Here is a 16,988-nt window from a genome sequence, read left to right as displayed (position 1 = left end):
CGGGTGATGGGTGCACCGACTCACAAATCACCTCTAATGAACTTTCTCTTGTAACCAAACACCACCTGTACCCCAATAACCTATGGAAAAATAAAAAAAAAAGATACCATTCCATCATCTGCTTTTTATTATTTTTGCTGAAATGTCAGCTAAGTTGTTTGTTTTGTGAAGGGAATTTAGTTTTCCCCCACTCTGGCTATTTTACGATTTTTCTATTTATCTTTGGTTTCCATAATTTTTTTGATGTATTGAGAGGTTGTCTTTTGTTCATTGGTTTGTTTTTTTTCTTTTTTTTTTTTTGAGACAGAGTTTCACTCTTGTTGCCCAGGTTGGAGTGCAGTGGCGTGATCTCGGCTCACTGCAACCTCCACCTCCTGGATTCAAGTGATTCTCCTGCCTCAGCCTCCCAAGTAGCTGGGATTACAGGTGTGCACCACCATACTTGGCTAATTTTTGCATTTTTAGCAGAGATGGGATTTTGTCATATTGGCCAGGCTGGTCTCAAACTCCTGACGTCAGGTGATCCATCCACCTGGGCCTCCCAAAGTGCTGGGATTACAGGCGTGAGCCACCGTGCCCAGCTTGTCGGTTTGTTTTGATCTTGCTTGGGGTTTGTAACACATTTTACAAATCTATCTTGATGGCTTTTGTCAGTTTTGGGAAATTCTTATCTTTTATCTCTTTTGCTTAGTTCCTCTTTCCTCTCTCGTCTCCTTGCTTTCCAATTACACTTAGTTTAGGGGTTTTGTTTTGTTTTTGCTATATCTCAAATATCTTTTACACTCCTTCTTGTGTATTTTTATCCTTTTGTTTTTCTTTACTTCACTCTGGATATTTTATAACAGTTTTCTAATTCTCTTTTCAATGGCATCTAAATGGCCTTTTTAACCTTTCAATTGAGTTTGTTTTACAGTTATTTTACATTTTATTTCTGTAATTTTCATTGAATTCTTTAAAAAAAATCCAATTTCAGGTAACTATTGCTGCATAATGACCTACTCCAAAATCCAGTAGTTTAAAACAACTACCTATTTAGTTAGTGATTCTGCTAGTTGGCAATTTGGGCTGGGCTCAGCTAGGTGGTTCTTTTGGTTTCCTCTTGCATCAGTCATGCATGTGTGGTCAGCTGCCAGACTGGCCACGGGTGGCTGATTCATTTATTTATTTTTTATTGTTTTTTGAGATTAGGTCTTGCTCTGTCATGCAGGCTAGAGTGCAGTGGCATGATATCTCGGCTCACTGCAAGCTCCATCTCCCGGGTTCAAGCAGTTCTCGTGCCTCAGACTCCCAAGTAGCTGGGGTTACAAGTGTGTGCCACCATGTCTGGCTAATTTTTGTATCGTTAGTAGAGACGAGGTTTTACCATGTTGGCCAGGGTGGTCTCGAACTCCCGACCTTGAGTGATCTGCCGGCCTTGGCCTCCCAAAGTGCTGGAATTACGGGCATGAGCCACCGCACCAGGCCAGGGCTAGCTGATTTAGAATGGCCTTAGCTGTGTTGGCTTATCTCTGTATCATGTGATATCTTATTCTCCAGCAGGCTATTTTAGGCTTGTTCACAGGTCAGCCAGATGAGGTTCCAAGAGAACAAGTAGAAATGTGCAATGCCTTTTCAGATCTAGGCTTAGAACTAGCAGAACATCATTTTTGCTGCGTTTCATCATGAAGACCAGCCCAGTTCCAAGAGACAGGGAAATGAACCCCATTTCTTGATAACAGAAGGAGCTGTAAAGTCACATTGCAAGGACATGGTATTTTTGCATTCTATCACGCTAGTTCTCTGCTGAAATTCTTAAACTTATGTTTTATTTCCTTGAACATATTAGACATGATTACTTTAAAGTTTATGACTGACAACTCTATTATGTAGATGCCCTGTTTGTTGGTTTCTGTTGTCTCTATTCTTCTGTTGGTTTTTGGAGATGTTTCCTTTTCTTATACTTCACTTTGGATATTGTGTATGAAACATTCTAGGAATAATTTAATGCTCTGGTTGATGTTATTTTCCTCTAGTCATAACTTATATTTGCCTCTAGTTGGCAGCCAGGTTAGGGCTACCAGAGATTCCAGATCATTAGTTCAATCCAGGGTTGTGATGATTCAAAATTGAGCTTCAGTTCCTGTGAGGGCTGTTCATTTCTCGTTCACTCTTACTCTTTGGGTATAGCCCTCTGTGGTACCAACCTCAACACTGATGGATTTTATGTATACCCGCTTTCTAATAGGAGGGACGTGAACTTCATGTTCTCTTAGTTCCTTGAGTTTTATTGTGAGCTCTGCTCAGCTTCTCAGCCTTTTAGCTGCCATTTATGGAATCAGAAGATGCCTCCAGGGAACAACAGTCAGAAATGCTGATCTCACCTCTCTGAATTTCCTTCTTCCAGATATTGGCCCCATAATTTTTCACTGCTTTATAAACTCTCTGATAACTTTAACAATGTGCTTTTACATGTTGTTCATTTTTCTTCTAGCTATTTTTAGTGGGAGGATTGGTTAGCATGTCTTAACCTGGATTTTCATTACATAATTAGAATTCCTTCGATGATTTTTTATCTCAACAATTAAGGGGATGCTGTAGAATGAAAGTGTTCTGTTTCCAGATCACAAACTCTCTGGAGTCAGGAATCATGCCTTATACATGAAGAGGCCCTGCCTCTTCAGGGGCTGGATTGCAGTGGGACTCAGTAAGGACTGAATAATTGATGAAGACAGTATATGTCCTCCTTGTAGGTTTAGTAATGATTTTTTCCATTCACCTTTGTTCTCAGGGTCTTTGTGCAATATTTGGTAGGTTGACTTGTTCTTATAAATAGTGCTAGGATCGTAGGAGACAGAGACACAGAGATGCACAGCACAGTCTCTGCTTTTGAGAAGCTTTTGGTTTGCTAATGGGCAGAGCCAGTACAAGTCATATAAATATAAATGGGAACCTATGTGTTTTAGTCTTAGGAGCATCAAGATCAAAGAAACATATTTCATCAAACAAATAGTATTACAAGTCCTTTAATTATTTACTTAGTCTCTTGAGAAAATGCCAGGGTGAAGCTGTGGCTTGGAGAGACTGCATTCATAATGCACTGGACATATAAAAACCCCTCTGTCTCAATTGCTCTCTTCTTAATAGCCTCCATTTTAACGGAGCCACTTGTAAAACTCTCCCCATCTCTTATTTTCTCTTCCAAATCCTCCCTGAGCCTCCCCAACTCACCCAGAGAGACTTTTTAATTTCCTGCACCTGCTGGGCCATGCCACATAGCTTTATTACTAAAAATGGCTGTAGGAACTTCCAGTTTTGTACACTGACTGCACAGAATTGCTCTAGGTTGTCACACCCCCATATTCATTAGGTTTCATCTTGATTCTTTGAGAGGCAAGTGCTGGGATCTGCCTGGGAAGTGTAGTTTTATTTTTAAAATTGTTTTCTAGGGAGAAATTTTTGTGGAGACTTTCTGATCACTGAAAAACTGGCAAACATCAATAAGTAATGACCAAAATCCAATGAACCAAGTGCCACGAGAGAGGATTATGTATTCAGCTCTGTGAGAGGATGGTTGAGGGGCCATGAGTTCAGCTTGGACGGTTAGTCTTCCTGGGCCTGACCATTCAGAATTTCCAACAGTCACTACTTGCCATTAGTAGTTGCCTCAGCACTGCTTGGAGGGAGTCACCTTAGATGTGGTATTTATAGCATCATGGTTAAGAATTTATCCTCTCAAGCCAAACTGCTGTCTTTACAAAGAGTAAACAAATAAGCTCCCTAGCACCTGTGCTCCCAGCTACTAGGGAGGTTGAGATGGGAGGATCACCTCAAGCCCAGGAGTTCAAGGCTGCAGTGAGCTGTGATTGCGCCACTGCACTCCAGCCTGGGTGACAGAGTGAGACCCTGTCTCTAGAAAACAAAACAAAAGAAAACAAAAACATAACACCAAACTGACTAGGTTTCAGGCTCATCATTCTTTTAACTCATCATACCTTTTAACTTAAATAGTTAAAATGTATAAAGTGTGAAACCTGCCTGTCACATAGTAAGTACTCAAGATTTTAGCTATTGGTCTATGGGATCCCTCAGACTAGGGACACAGAGCTTGGGGACAAGGGGAGGCAGATGGAGGGGATATGCTTTAAGGTGCTCCTAGGTTCTGGGCTCCTCATACTCATCCCCACCCAATTGGCTTAAGGGAAGTCACATCCAGCTGCCCACATTGCTCAGGCCTGACACTCTTCCCGCTACTTTCAGCTTGGGTTCTCTTTCCTAGGATGCCAGGGATCAGCTGACCATGTGGTTAGCATCTCGGGAGTGCCTCTTCAGTTACAACCAAACAGCATACAGACGAAGGTTGACAGCATTGCATGGAAGAAGTTGCTGCCCTCACAAAATGGATTTCATCACATATTGAAGTGGGAGAATGGCTCTTTGCCTTCCAATACTTCCAATGATAGATTCAGTTTTATAGTCAAGAACTTGAGTCTTCTCATCAAGGCAGCTCAGCAGCAGGACAGTGGCCTCTACTGCCTGGAGGTCACCAGTATATCTGGAAAAGTTCAGACAGCCACGTTCCAGGTTTTTGTATTTGGTAAGTCTCCAGGACTGTTCATACTGCCCTCTCTGATTCCTATAGGCCTCTAAGTTCTGTATTTCCAATGCCTTTCTGATCAGAATCTCTGCTTCCAGATAAAGTTGAGAAACCCCGCCTACAGGGGCAGGGGAAGATCCTGGACAGAGGGAGATGCCAAGTGGCTCTGTCTTGCTTGGTCTCCAGGGATGGCAATGTGTCCTATGCTTGGTACAGAGGGAGCAAGCTGATCCAGACAGCAGGGAACCTCACCTACCTGGACGAGGAGGTTGACATTAATGGCACTCACACATATACCTGCAATGTCAGCAATCCTGTTAGCTGGGAAAGCCACACCCTGAATCTCACTCAGGACTGTCAGAATGCCCATCAGGGTAAGTGGAACACACTGGGCTATAACAAGCGCTGAAGGTTTGGACCCCGCAACCAGGCTCATGTGCAAGACAGATGTGGTATGAGATAAAATCCCTTGGCCTCCTCTCCCAGTGCCTTGTAGCCCTTCCCAGGGTAGCCCTGGCCTCCAGGCACACAGTTCCTGTAAAGCTAGGCCTATCCTACTCTGGAAAAAAATGTTATCCCTATTTCCTTCTGGGAGATGCAAGCTTTTCTTCTGCAGAGGGAGGGCATAGTTGTTTGGTGAGTGACAGTCCTGAAATGGCTCCTGAACATTATTTTCTTCCTGGGAGAGGCTGATGGAGAACTGTCCTCTCCTCTTGAGTGATAACTTTCTCCAAGCCACATAGTTCAAGAGGTAACTACACTGTGCAGCAGTAGCCTGGAGCAGGAGCATCAGGATGACCCCAGGGATACCTAGATGAGTTCTTGGGCTGTTGCTTATGCTCATCCTAAGAGTTACCTGAGTTACCGTTCCACAACTTTTTATTACATAAACAGGGACTTAATGTACCAGCAGCATGGGCATTATAGGAAAAAAAAACCATACAGCTCTCATTCATAAGGAACTTATAGCCAAATGGGGCAACAAAAATAACTACTTGTGGACAAAAAAGAAACAAGACTGAGGCAGGCCGGGCGCAGTGGCTCCCTGTAATCCCAGCACTTTGGGAGGCTGAGGTGGGTGGATCACAAGGTCAGGAGTTTGAGACCAGCCTGGCCAACATGGTGAAACCCTGTCTCTACTAAAAATACAAAAAATTAGCTGGGCGTGTTGGCGGGCACCTGTAATCTCAGCTACTCAGGAGGCTGAGGCAGGAGAATTGCTTGAACCCAGGAGGCGGAGGTTGCAGTGAGTCAAGATCATGCCACTGAACTAGGACACTGGCTTCATCATTCAGAAGCTCTGTGATCTCTTAGAGGTCAGGTGTGGTGGCTCACACATGTAATCCTAGCACTTTGGGAGGCTGAGGCAGGTGGATCACTTGAGTCCAGGTGTTTGAGACCAGCCTGGACAATATGGTGTAATCCCATCTCTATTTAAAAAAAAAAAAAAAAGAAGCTCTGTGATCTCTGGCAGATTCATTAACCTCTCTGAGCCTCAATTTTCTTCCCCCCTTGAGTAAAATGGGGGTGATAATAAGTACCTCACAGGATTGCTGTTAAGAGTAAATGAGATAATGTTTGCAAAGAGCCTTGTCAGCCCTTGGAACACTTAATTCCTTTTCCTTCCTCTTGTTGGCTGGATTATATATCAGGCTACATGTGTGACACAAATCTTTTAAGTAGAAGTTCAAATGAGGAAGAGCCATGAAGGAAGGAATAGTGGAAAAGTGAGACGGAAAACTTGCCTGTACAATGAGTATTTTTTGAGTTAAAAACAAAGGAATGGATAAATGTAACATTTGTTGTGCTACATGTCCCTCAGTATCCATGACGAATTAGTTCCAGGACCCACCTCGCAACCACAGATGCCAAGATCCACGAATGTTTAAGTCCCTGGCATAAACAGGTGCAGTTTTTGCATATAACCTATGCACACATCCTTCTGTATACCTTACTTAAGTCACCTCTAAATTAGTTATAATGCCTGATACAATGTAAATGCTATTTAAATAGTTGTTATACTGTATTGTTTAGGGAATAATGACAAGGAAAAAGGCCTCTACATATTCAATACACATGCATTTTTTTTCCCTGAATATTCTGGATCCACAATTCATTGAATCCACATTGTGGAACTCAAAACTTTGGAGGGCAACTGTATTAGATCATGTAATTAACCCCTATAGGTAGATAACGTTATCCCCTTTTACAGGTGAGAAAATCTAAGAGGCTCTGAGGCATCTTCCAAAAATAAGATGACTTGAGAGGCCCAGAGAGGTTAAATAAATAGTGCAGAGCTCACAGGGTTAGAATTTGAGCCAGGCCTGTCTGATATATCTATGCTCTTGGCATCACTCAGAGGAGGTTAACCAAATGAGCAAAGAGAAAACCTTGACCGTGAGTTCTCAGAGCACGAGGCAATCAGCCACAACACAGAGAAAAGTGGGTTTTGAGGCAGCCCCTGCAGCAGGCAGGTGGGAAGGAAGAAGAGAGCGAGCTGACAGCTCAGTTCTCACGCCTTCTGTATTCCTCAGAATTCAGATTTTGGCCGTTTTTGGTGATCATCGTGATTCTAAGCGCACTGTTCCTTGGCACCCTTGCCTGCTTCTGTGTGTGGAGGAGAAAGAGGAAGGAGAAGCAGTCAGGTGAGTGGAAGGTCCTTAGGGTGGTGCTCCTGCCTGAGGCCTTGGATCCTGTGACTTTGTCCTGCGTCCAGTGGGATGTGTCTGGGAGCACAGCATCTCCTTTTCCTCAACGAGCTTTGGTATGTTTGTGTGCGTGGTGGCGGGGGGCAAGCAGGTTGCTAGGCTCTCTCTCCCAGTTCATGCCTTCTGATCCCAATGCGCAGATTTCCCTGTAGACAGCTGGTTTGGGAGGAGGTGTGGGAGGGGCAGTTCGGTTGCTGCCTCTGTGCTCTTTGGGGTTCCTGGGAAGAGCATTAACTTGCCTCCTTTCTAGAACCTTTTTTAAGGTTTGGCCATTTGGGGTAGAGGTGGGACCTGTTAGAAGCAAAAGCCCTTCTGGAGGTTTCTGCAGCTCTGCTCTTTGTTTTCTTCCTCCCTCAGAGACCAGTCCCAAGGAATTTTTGACAATTTACGAAGATGTCAAGGATCTGAAAACCAGGAGAAATCACGTATGTCATCCCGGAGGCTGGGGTCTCTCTCAGCTGGCTTGGAAAATGCTCTTTCAATGATGGTTATTCAGAGCAGAGGGACAAAAAGGACTGAACGACTGTCCTTTTGATGTGACCCTCAGCCCTTCCCCATCTATCTTTTCTCCACCTGCTTCCTAGTTCTGGTGATGGAGGAAAAGAGGAAACAAAAGGAGCAGAGGAGATGAAAGGGAGGCTGAAGGGGCATCTTGGTGCAGAATTGCACCTGCTGAGAAGGGATGGAGCACAACAGAAATCAATGACAGAGGCAGAGTGCTGCTGTGGTATTTGTTGTCTGACCACAAATTCTTTTTCCTAATGAGTCAGGGCTTACATTCATGAGTCCCTTAATGGTGACACAGGCTGGGAAGTGTGACCAGCCAAAGCATAATAGTTTTGTAGCTGGCTCAATAGGCTGCATTCACAGCCTTTTGGAAGAAGAGGCCTGAGTGTGGCTGAGGTACTAGAGAGAGTAACCAGCCTGGCACAAAGCCCACCAGCCTGAGTAGGCTCCTCCAGGAGCCTCTCGCCTGCTCTTCGCAGCAGGCAGGGGCCAACTCTGCCTGTCATCCAAGAATTAGAAGAGGAGGAAATTGCAGAGGGCCTGCAGATGCCCCCACTGCTGTGTCTCGCTTAGGGCAGATGTGGTGACAGGCCCAGGGGAAAAGCTCTGATGGAGCCTACCAAACTGCTGGCAGGAAGTGGGGCAGGGTGGGTGAAGTGGGGCGGAAGTGCCTTCTTTCCACTGCCCCCTGGCGCTTTGCTGTGGAGACCCAGCAGCACGCAGGAAGCACATGTGGTGGGGCTCTTCCGTGCTGGCCACATACGTGAGGCCCTGTGCAGCCTCGCAGAGCAGGCAAGCATCCTCTCCCAGATGCCTCTGGGTTCAGAGGCTGTTAGAGCAGCTCCCCATGCCTGTTTTTTTATTTTTATCTTTATTTATTTATTTATTTTTGCCCCAGCAGTGGCTATGGGAATGTGAAAAATAAAGCAGTGGCTATTGGAATGTGAATAATAAAAGGGGACTTTGTTTCTCTCACTGCTACCAGACTCTGGTACAAATTCCTGAAAGCATGTGAATCTACCCACAGCCAGTGATGCCCGGGTGCTTGCTAAAAATAATCTATTTTTCCAAAAAGAAGATGACTTGAGATTAGGAGACCACAGGAGGAAAAACAACTTAGAGCAAAGGAAACCTCTTTGGGATTCAGGCCTATTAGCTTACTTCTTCCGACTCAAGAGCTCCTCCCTGCCTGGCCTCAGCCCTCTCTGGCCTCTCCCTATTGTCTCAGGGCTCCAATTTGAAGGCCTAAATCTCAAGTTTCATGTGGTCTCACTTTGAGACCCAGCTCTAATCTTTCTAGAAACACTTCACACGGGTCTGGACGGGAGAGAAAAGCAACAAACTCCTGCAGTATTTTAAAACACAAATGAAGTTATTGACATTGTCAGATGCCCATGACTCCCCAGCCTCTAAGGACAGCTGACAGTTCTCTGCTTCTCTTAGCTTCTTCTTGCTTCCAGGAATTTTGCTTGCACCTTGCCTAATGAACCCTGCTGCCTCCACTGGCTCCCAGTAGAACCCAAACTGGCAATATGCTTTCAGTGGCCGGCAGCATGAAATACCTCCACCACCGATTTCCTAAGGGGTAGGAACAAGAAAAGGGAAGCAGGAAGCTCTGCTTCCTGCTTTGGCCCTTGGGTTCAGGGCTGCACCCAGCACTATAGCTGCCCAGGGCGCTGACTTGAGGTCAAGGGCAAGGTGGCCTCAAAGATGATCTAGAGAGGGCTTAACTGTGTTTGGTCTTTGAAATGTTTAAACTTTCTGAATTTCAGTGCTCTGAGGTAAGGCTCAGATAACAGCCCTACTCAGAGCTCTGCAAGGAAGGGTTTCTAAGTTACTAAAGGAAAGAAAGTGACAGCATTCTCTTTGAGCAGGGTTGCTGGAACCCCTCACACCTAGGTGGTTCCTTGCTCCTGATACTAATGGTTCCACTCCAAACTGCTCTTCTTCCTGTCTCTTCCCATCTTGGGAGGATCAATGACTCTCCCCAGTCCTGCCACCTCCCTCCCAGTCTCCTGAAAAGCCCTCTTCTTTGTGCTGTTTTTCCCCACTCAATCTAAATCTGGACAGACCGAACTGTCGCTCATGTTACCCCATCTCCATTTCTTGTGCAGGAGCAGGAGCAGACTTTTCCTGGAGGGGGGAGCACCATCTACTCTATGATCCAGTCCCAGGTACCTCTCCAGTTTCTCTAGTCCATTCCATACCTATCTCTGGGGTTTCCTAATGCCCCCCTGAAACTCACACCATTGAATGGCAGAATAAGATCTTGGTGCTTCTAGAATCCAGAAGATAGCTTGGCTTCAGTTGCATTAACACATTATTTGAAAAGATCCGTGTGATACTAGAGCATCTTAACACAGCTGGGAAGCCTGATGTGGACATTCCTTCTTCTTCCGTGTCTGGCAGAAGGTCTGGCCCAGATAAAGTCTATAGGAGCAGAAACCTGGTTAGGGGACTCAACTTCTGCTTTCTTGCCCTGCTGCTGCTTCTAATACTTGGGGCCCTTGCACTTTTTATCCCTATTCCCTATTATATTCGTTTTCAGGAAAGAATGAATCTGCATTGATCTCTTTTATTTTATTATGACTTAGCAATAATGTCCATTTTCTTTTCTTTTAAAACAATTTTATTGTTTAGAGACAGGGTCTCTTTATTTATTTTTTATTTCCATAGGTTTTTTTGGGAACAGGTGGCATTTGGTGTCATGAGTCAGTTCTTTAGTGGTGATTTGTGAGATTTTTGGTATACCCGTTATGAGACAGGATCTCATTCTGTCTACCAGGCTGAGTGCAATGGTAGAATCATAGCTTACTGAAGCCTTGAATTCCCGGCCTCAAGTGATCCTCCCACCTCAGCCTCCTGGGTAGCTAGGTCTGCAGGTGTGTACCACTGCACCCAGCTGTATTTTCTTACTAAATCTCACATAACAGCCTCATGAAAATAGTTCTAATACTTTAGATGTGGTCTACATTCCATATCACAATGAGGAAACCGAGACTCAGGTCAACTGATATCTCAAGGCTACATAGCTAGGTAGTGGCAGAGCTGAGCCAAAGGGTTTCTGAGTCTCCATTGCACCTCCTCATACTCCACCTCTTATATTCTGGGATTACAGAAATTCACTCATAAACTGGAGAAGCATCCTTTAATACTGATGGCTAAAATGACATTGATAACCCAGGCTGGGACATCTCTCCCAAGGGAAACACTGCCTCCTGGTGGCCAGTAATAAAAGACTTTCTGATAAAAATGGCTTTAAAAAAAAGAAAAAAAAAATTGAGCACCATCTTCAGTTTGGTGGCTGAGCTGTGGGGCAAAGAAAATCTGATTATAAGAGCGGTTGATATCTGCCAGTTCTCTAGTTTCAGCCACATTGAACTCCAATGAGAGGAATTTCTATCAGTGCAAGAAAGAGGTCCCCTCAAACTATGGTGTTGGGTGAGAATGACAGTCCTCCTCTGGAGCATCTTAAAAGGAGAATGTTTACCTGATTTAGAGGACACCTGGTTCCAGTCCAGGGAAGGGAGGCAAGTTGCCAAAGGGAGGCATTGAGGTGTTGAGGAAAGAGCCCTGGAGAGTCTTGGGTTTGAATTCTGCTTCTACTGTGTACGCACTGCCTGACTTGGGCTATTTATCCTTTTGGAGCCTCATTTGTGGCATGGGGCAAATTATGATCATTCTTATTTTATAGGAGTGTTAAAAGAGTTAGAGAAGAGGCCAGGCGCGGTGGCTCATGCCTGTAATCCCAACACTTTGGGAGGCCGAGGCGGGCGGATCACGAGGTCAGGGGTTTGAGACCAGCCTGGCCCACATGGTGAAACCCTGTCTCTAAAAATACAAAAATTAGCTGGGCATGATGGCAGGCACCTGTAATCCCAGCTACTCAGGAGGCTGGGGCAGGAGAATTGCCTGAACCCAGGAGGCAGAGGTTGCGGTGAGCCAAGATCGAGACATTGCACTCCAGCCCAGGCAATAGAGCGAAACTCTTGTCTCAAAAACAAATAAACAAAAAAACAGTTAGAGGAGAATACATGTATAAGATAAATGCTCAACAAATAGAAGCTTTCATTAATGACAGAGCGAGACTAGCACTCAGGTTGTCTGACCTCCTGGCTAGTCCAGGGCTCTTTTCACTAACACTTGAAGCTTCCATCTGGGCAGGGTTGAGGAGGAGAAACGGAAGAGATAACCTTTGTAAGATTGTGCTGGATCTGTGCTTCTGAAATGATTTTATTTCTCTTCTCATTAGTCTTCTGCTCCCACGTCACAAGAACCTGCATATACATTATATTCATTAATTCAGCCTTCCAGGAAGGTGAGCCTCTTCCCGTGGTGGTGGTGGGGTGTTGTTGATGTAGATGTGTATTTTGCATGTGTTTGCAGTGAGAGTGTGTGTGCACATCCTGGCAAGTTGTTCTTTATTGTGTGTATCTGAGTAGCTTCTGTTAAATGACTGTATTTAAATGTCAATGGGCCAATGAGAAATGCCTTACTGGTTCTGTCTGGAGAAAAATAACAGCTTCTAGACTAAGAGAACAGTAGACTAGATGAGTTTTTGGGAGTTTCTGTGGGAGGTAAAGGACAGTCAGAGACAGAAAGGAGGTGCTTTGCACAGAGAGACTACGGGGTACTTAGTAGGTCAGCTGAGGCTATGGTGAGAGATACTGGAGGGGTTTGCAAGGCAGGGCATATTGCCTGGAGCTGGAGGAGTAGACTGGATCTAGAGAGACACAATCTTGACCTTCAGAGACCAGAGAAAGGTCCTGGCCAGTCAGTCACCTGCTGGTGGAGGCCTCTGGACTGAGGCAACCCATCCTTTTGCACTGAAATCCTTCTCCAAGCTGAGTTCGTAGCTCTCTTGTGTACTTGGAAACAGAGTTGGGTATCCTGGTACACATGGTCATTGTTTTTCTCTTGTATGGAAGGGGATGGGAAGAGTGGTGTTCCCAAGGCTGGAGCCACAGTGTGAAGCCAGAAAGCCTTAACATGGTAGTATGGGAATTTGGGAGTCCACACAACTGTGGAAGTCCATGCAGGTCAGGGACCACAGGTTTGAAGGGGTTTAGGACAGATTTTCAGACTTTTCATTCAACCTCCTTCCAATAAGCCATTCAACCTACTTGGATCCCATCGTGAGAGAGATTTGTTTTTAATTATATGCTACAATATAAGGCCATATAGATGTTCACAGGCACCATGTTCACCTGCTTTGGTGTATGTAAACTCTATATGCTACTGAATGTGCCTCTGAATTCTAGTGTCCTTGGGTTGGCAATTATTTATATGCCTGGATTGTTTACATTAAGGGTGTGTGTATGCATGCGTTGAAGAGATACATGGTTTGGGGCAGTATTTGCATTAGGATTGCCTGAGGGATATGTGTGTATGTGTATGTGTATGTGTATGTGTATGTGTGTGTGCTCTGGGAATGTGTGTGTGTATATATATACACAAATATGTATATATATGTGTGTGTGTATATATATATATATATACACACACACACACATATGTGTATGGGTTTTAGGTGTATGTGGGTATGGAACAGCAAATTCTGATTTTGGTTCAGAAATATCATATTATAGGCAAATACTGTATATATTGTGTCTTCCCTGGAGACCATAAACACCATTGTTTTGCTCCTAGGGTGACAGATTCTATTCATTTTCTGGCTGAGAGTGCCTCAGAATTTTTCTGGGCCCTGAGTCTCTTTTGGGACCTCTCACATCACTTAGGAGTGGGAGAGCACTTATCTCGAAGTTAAGTATTCTTTACCTTCTGAATTTCTAGTCTGGATCCAGGAAGAGGAACCACAGCCCTTCCTTCAATAGCACTATCTATGAAGTGGTAAGATTCTGGAACTCCTCAATGGGTTTACTGTCTGTTGCATAGCCCTGAAATCTAGCCATGAAAGGGTACACTTAGGAAAAGATCATTCACACAGTCTCAGAGTTGTAGGGAATTTAGAGATCTTCTAATGCAAGTCTTTGTTTTAGAGATGAAGACACTGAAGCCCAAGGAGAGTGAGGGTCTGACCCAAGATCATATTGCGTGTTTAGATATGATACTTACTGGGCAGCTTGGGTTTTAAATTAGGGCCGTCCCCGAGCTAGTTCCCAGGCTGTGGGCCACAAACTGGACATCTCTCCTTTCCAAGAGTGTTCGGAGGAGGGGTCAGAGAGGGGAAGATAAAGGACTCTAAATGATTTTCTAAAATTAGCAAGTCTTTGGGAGCCATTCCAGGACATAGGTGAGCTTAATCTTCTTCAGGGGTCAACACTGTTCAGAGATGACCACTGAGCCTGGTGGTTGAATTGATTCCCATCAGAGCATTTAGGGACTGGAAAGGAGGGACTCAACATTTCTTGGGGGTTTATTATGGATAAGGTAGCCTGCCAGTGTCTTCACATGGATTATTTTATTTAGTCCTCACAGAATGCTACAAGATAGGTATAATTATACTTTCCATTTATACTCAGAGAAATTAAGGCATGGAGAGCATCCCCCAACCTCCCCCACTACCCATTAGCCTCATACTACACCTGAGCCTCCCCACCTGTGGTCCAATAAAGATGCTGCCATTGGTCAGAAGGGAGGGATGGGTGGCTGCCTGCTGGAATTCCTGGCACTTCAGCTATCACCCAACATTAAAGCCAACTGGACAACCCAGGGTCATAGAGGGCACTGTGTAGACCCAGGTAGCTTGTGAGGTCATGAAAAAGCATATGTGGTTAAGAGAGTACTGGAATTGGAGCCAGAAGAACTAGATTCAAGTCCCTCCTGCACTTCACACTAGTCGTGGATCCTGAGTAATTTGTTTTGTCACTCTGAGCTTCATTTTTTAAATCTGTAAAATGGGGATGGCAAGTCATACCTCACAGGATTGTGATAAGGACCTCCCAGTGCAAGGGTCTGAAGTTTCTCCTTTTCTTTTGCAGATTGGAAAGAGTCAACCTAAAGCCCAGAACCCTGCTCGATTGAGCCGCAAAGAGCTGGAGAACTTTGATGTTTATTCCTAGTTGCTGCAGCAATTCTCACCTTTCTTGCACATCAGCATCTGCTTTGGGAATTGGCACAGTGGATGACGGCACAGGAGTCTCTATAGAACAGTTCCTAGTCTGGAGAGGATATGGAAATTTGTTCTTGTTCTATATTTTGTTTTGAAAATGATGTCTAACAACCATGATAAGAGCAAGGCTGTTAAATAATATCTTCCAATTTACAGATCAGACATGAATGGGTGGAGGGGTTAGGTTGTTCACAAAAGGCCACATTCCAAGTATTTGTAATCTAGAAAGTGTTATGTAAGTGATGTTATTAGCATCGAGATTCCCTCCACCTGATTTTCAAGCTGTCACTTGTTTCCTTTTCTCCCCTCTCTGGGTTGACTGCATTTCTAGACTCTCGCCGGCCCAGGCCCATCTTCCAAAGCAAGAGGAAGGAATGATAATGGTGACTCAGGGGAAGAAGAAACAGCCCTCCTCTGAAAGCCTGGACTGTCCGGCTGTGAACTGGCTGGCAGGTTCTGCACGTGGGTGGGGGCCAGGGCCTGGGCTTTACTCAATTGCAGAGAAAAAACTTTCTCCCTGCATCTCATACCTTTACCTCTGGCCAGTTGGCCACCAGGGGGAGTGGGCTGAAGGGAGAGTAGATGGTGCAAAGCAAGCCCATCTCTAAGTAGAAAAATCACCCAGAGCACATGCTGACCTGATAACTGGGGTGTTGAGACCAGCTTTGTCCATGGTATGATGTTTGATTTATGAAGACGCATTGTTAGAAATCCATTTGGCTTCTTCATAGAAGTGGCTTCCCAGAGGAAGAGGCCTCTCAGAAACCATGTTCTATTTAAGTTCTGAGTCCTGATGAGTGTTCCCCAGGATGCACATTGAAGGGAGGGCTCAGGCAGCTGAGGGCTGAGAATGAGGCAGTTGGAATCTAGACACTATGCTGGGTTCCCTGAGTCGTCAGGCCAGACATTTCAACAAGGCTGTGGGGAGCAGGGCTGTGACTCTGGCTGAGCCCAGGAAAGCGACAAGGGTGAACTGGGAGAGGACTTACTCAGAGACCCCAACAGGTGATACTGCACAAAGCCTGGTTCTTCAATTTTCCTACCCTGTATCTAACATAGGAGTTTCATATAAAACGGTGATATCATGCAGATGCAGTCTGAATTCCTTGCCTGAATTAAATTTATGTATCCTCTCCATACCCTGCATTTTTATTCTCTATAGCAGCCGAAGGGCACTTGTGGGCCATCAACAAACACATGTCTGTTTGAACACTGCTGTAGAGGGTCTGACTTCCTGGTGAGCTGGCAGTGTCCTTCAGCCCTGTTCACACTGGGACAGCAGAGAACTAGACACTAGGGGCTATTCCATCTTGTGAAGGAGAGCCAAGGCACTCACTTGGTCACATCCTGCAGGATCCCTTTCCCCTGAGACTGTGCTGCTGGCCAGGCTGGTTTCCTCCTGGAGAGAAGTGTGAACAGACCACATCTTAAAGCAAGTGAGAAGCTTAAAAACCAGGCAAATATATTCAGAAAGAGCCTGGGGGTCCAAGGCAGGTACTGGGAGTTGAGTTGCAGAGTCAAGGAGTTTAGTGAGTAGAGGCAGCAGGAAATGACGGGGTTCAGAAACAGTCCAGATGAACACCAGGGACTCTGACCATTGACTGCTGCTGGCCTTTCATGTGTCCTGCATAGATCTTGAACTGGCCAGATTTATTTAAGGAGCAGAAGAGACCCTATGGGGTCAGGGCTTTTGAGGATGCTGTATTCTAGAAAGAAAGATGTACAAGGTCATCATGTTATGTGTCTGATTGTTGAGCTTCCGTGACAATGCCTCACAAAGATAATTATCCATGCAACAAGCCAGTCAATGAACAAGCAGTAATTAAGCTCCTGCTGTGTATGAAGCACTGCCTGAACTCCTGGGAGTACCCACTGCAGGTGACAGAAGCCATACTGAGTTCAGGATCATGTGCAGGAGAGCATGACAGAGGCAGCACACAATTAAAGGACCTAGATGGGCTGCAAGGTGATGGTAACAGAAATGTACACTAGAGTATCACGAATATAAGTCAAGTATAGTGCATCTTACAGGCAGAGGAGAGGGCTGTGGCCACAGTCTTAGGGAGAGATACTGTGGGTATTCTGTGTCCAGACTGGACAATAAGAAGGGAAGTTCTTTTGGGTAAAT

The 16,988-nt window shown here is 45.0% G+C and overlaps 1 protein-coding gene across 7 annotated transcripts in view, besides 2 other annotated features; it reads left to right on the top strand.

The window, feature by feature from the left end:
* CD244 (CD244 molecule) overlaps positions 1–15,997 on the top strand; it is a 32,728-nt gene extending 16,731 nt beyond the window's left edge. Inside the window, exons 2-9 of one of the 7 annotated variants that reach the window (NM_016382.4) lie at positions 4,256–4,573; positions 4,672–4,947; positions 7,108–7,218; positions 7,639–7,706; positions 9,903–9,962; positions 12,041–12,106; positions 13,582–13,638; positions 14,730–15,997. In NM_016382.4, coding sequence (NP_057466.1) covers positions 4,256–4,573; positions 4,672–4,947; positions 7,108–7,218; positions 7,639–7,706; positions 9,903–9,962; positions 12,041–12,106; positions 13,582–13,638; positions 14,730–14,810 — 1,037 coding nt within the window. In that variant the 3' untranslated portion in view covers positions 14,811–15,997. Of the gene's footprint in view, positions 1–4,255; positions 4,574–4,656; positions 4,948–7,107; positions 7,219–7,638; positions 7,707–9,902; positions 9,963–12,040; positions 12,107–13,437; positions 13,639–14,729 lie in introns of those variants that run through there. The other 6 variants (NM_001166663.2, NM_001166664.2, XM_047422535.1 and 3 more) reach the window with 6 other exon arrangements.
* Positions 8,298–8,427: an enhancer, noted in NCBI's record as "active region_1962". NCBI's record gives its function as "activates an Ori minimal core promoter by ATAC-STARR-seq in GM12878 lymphoblastoid cells {active_cell/tissue: GM12878}" and the evidence as "EXISTENCE:reporter gene assay evidence [ECO:0000049][PMID:35858748]".
* Positions 8,431–8,945: an enhancer, noted in NCBI's record as "H3K4me1 hESC enhancer chr1:160807002-160807516 (GRCh37/hg19 assembly coordinates)". NCBI's record gives its function as "activates a minimal SCP1, AML or CMV promoter by ChIP-STARR-seq in naive H9 embryonic stem cells {active_cell/tissue: H9 hESC(naive)}" and the evidence as "EXISTENCE:reporter gene assay evidence [ECO:0000049][PMID:30033119]".

The sequence above is a fragment of the Homo sapiens genome, chromosome 1 (assembly GCF_000001405.40).
Source record: "Homo sapiens chromosome 1, GRCh38.p14 Primary Assembly".
Classification (NCBI taxonomy): domain Eukaryota; kingdom Metazoa; phylum Chordata; class Mammalia; order Primates; family Hominidae; genus Homo; species Homo sapiens.
The sequence above is the reverse complement of the archived record's forward strand: the minus strand, read 5'-3'. Positions and strand labels throughout refer to the sequence as shown.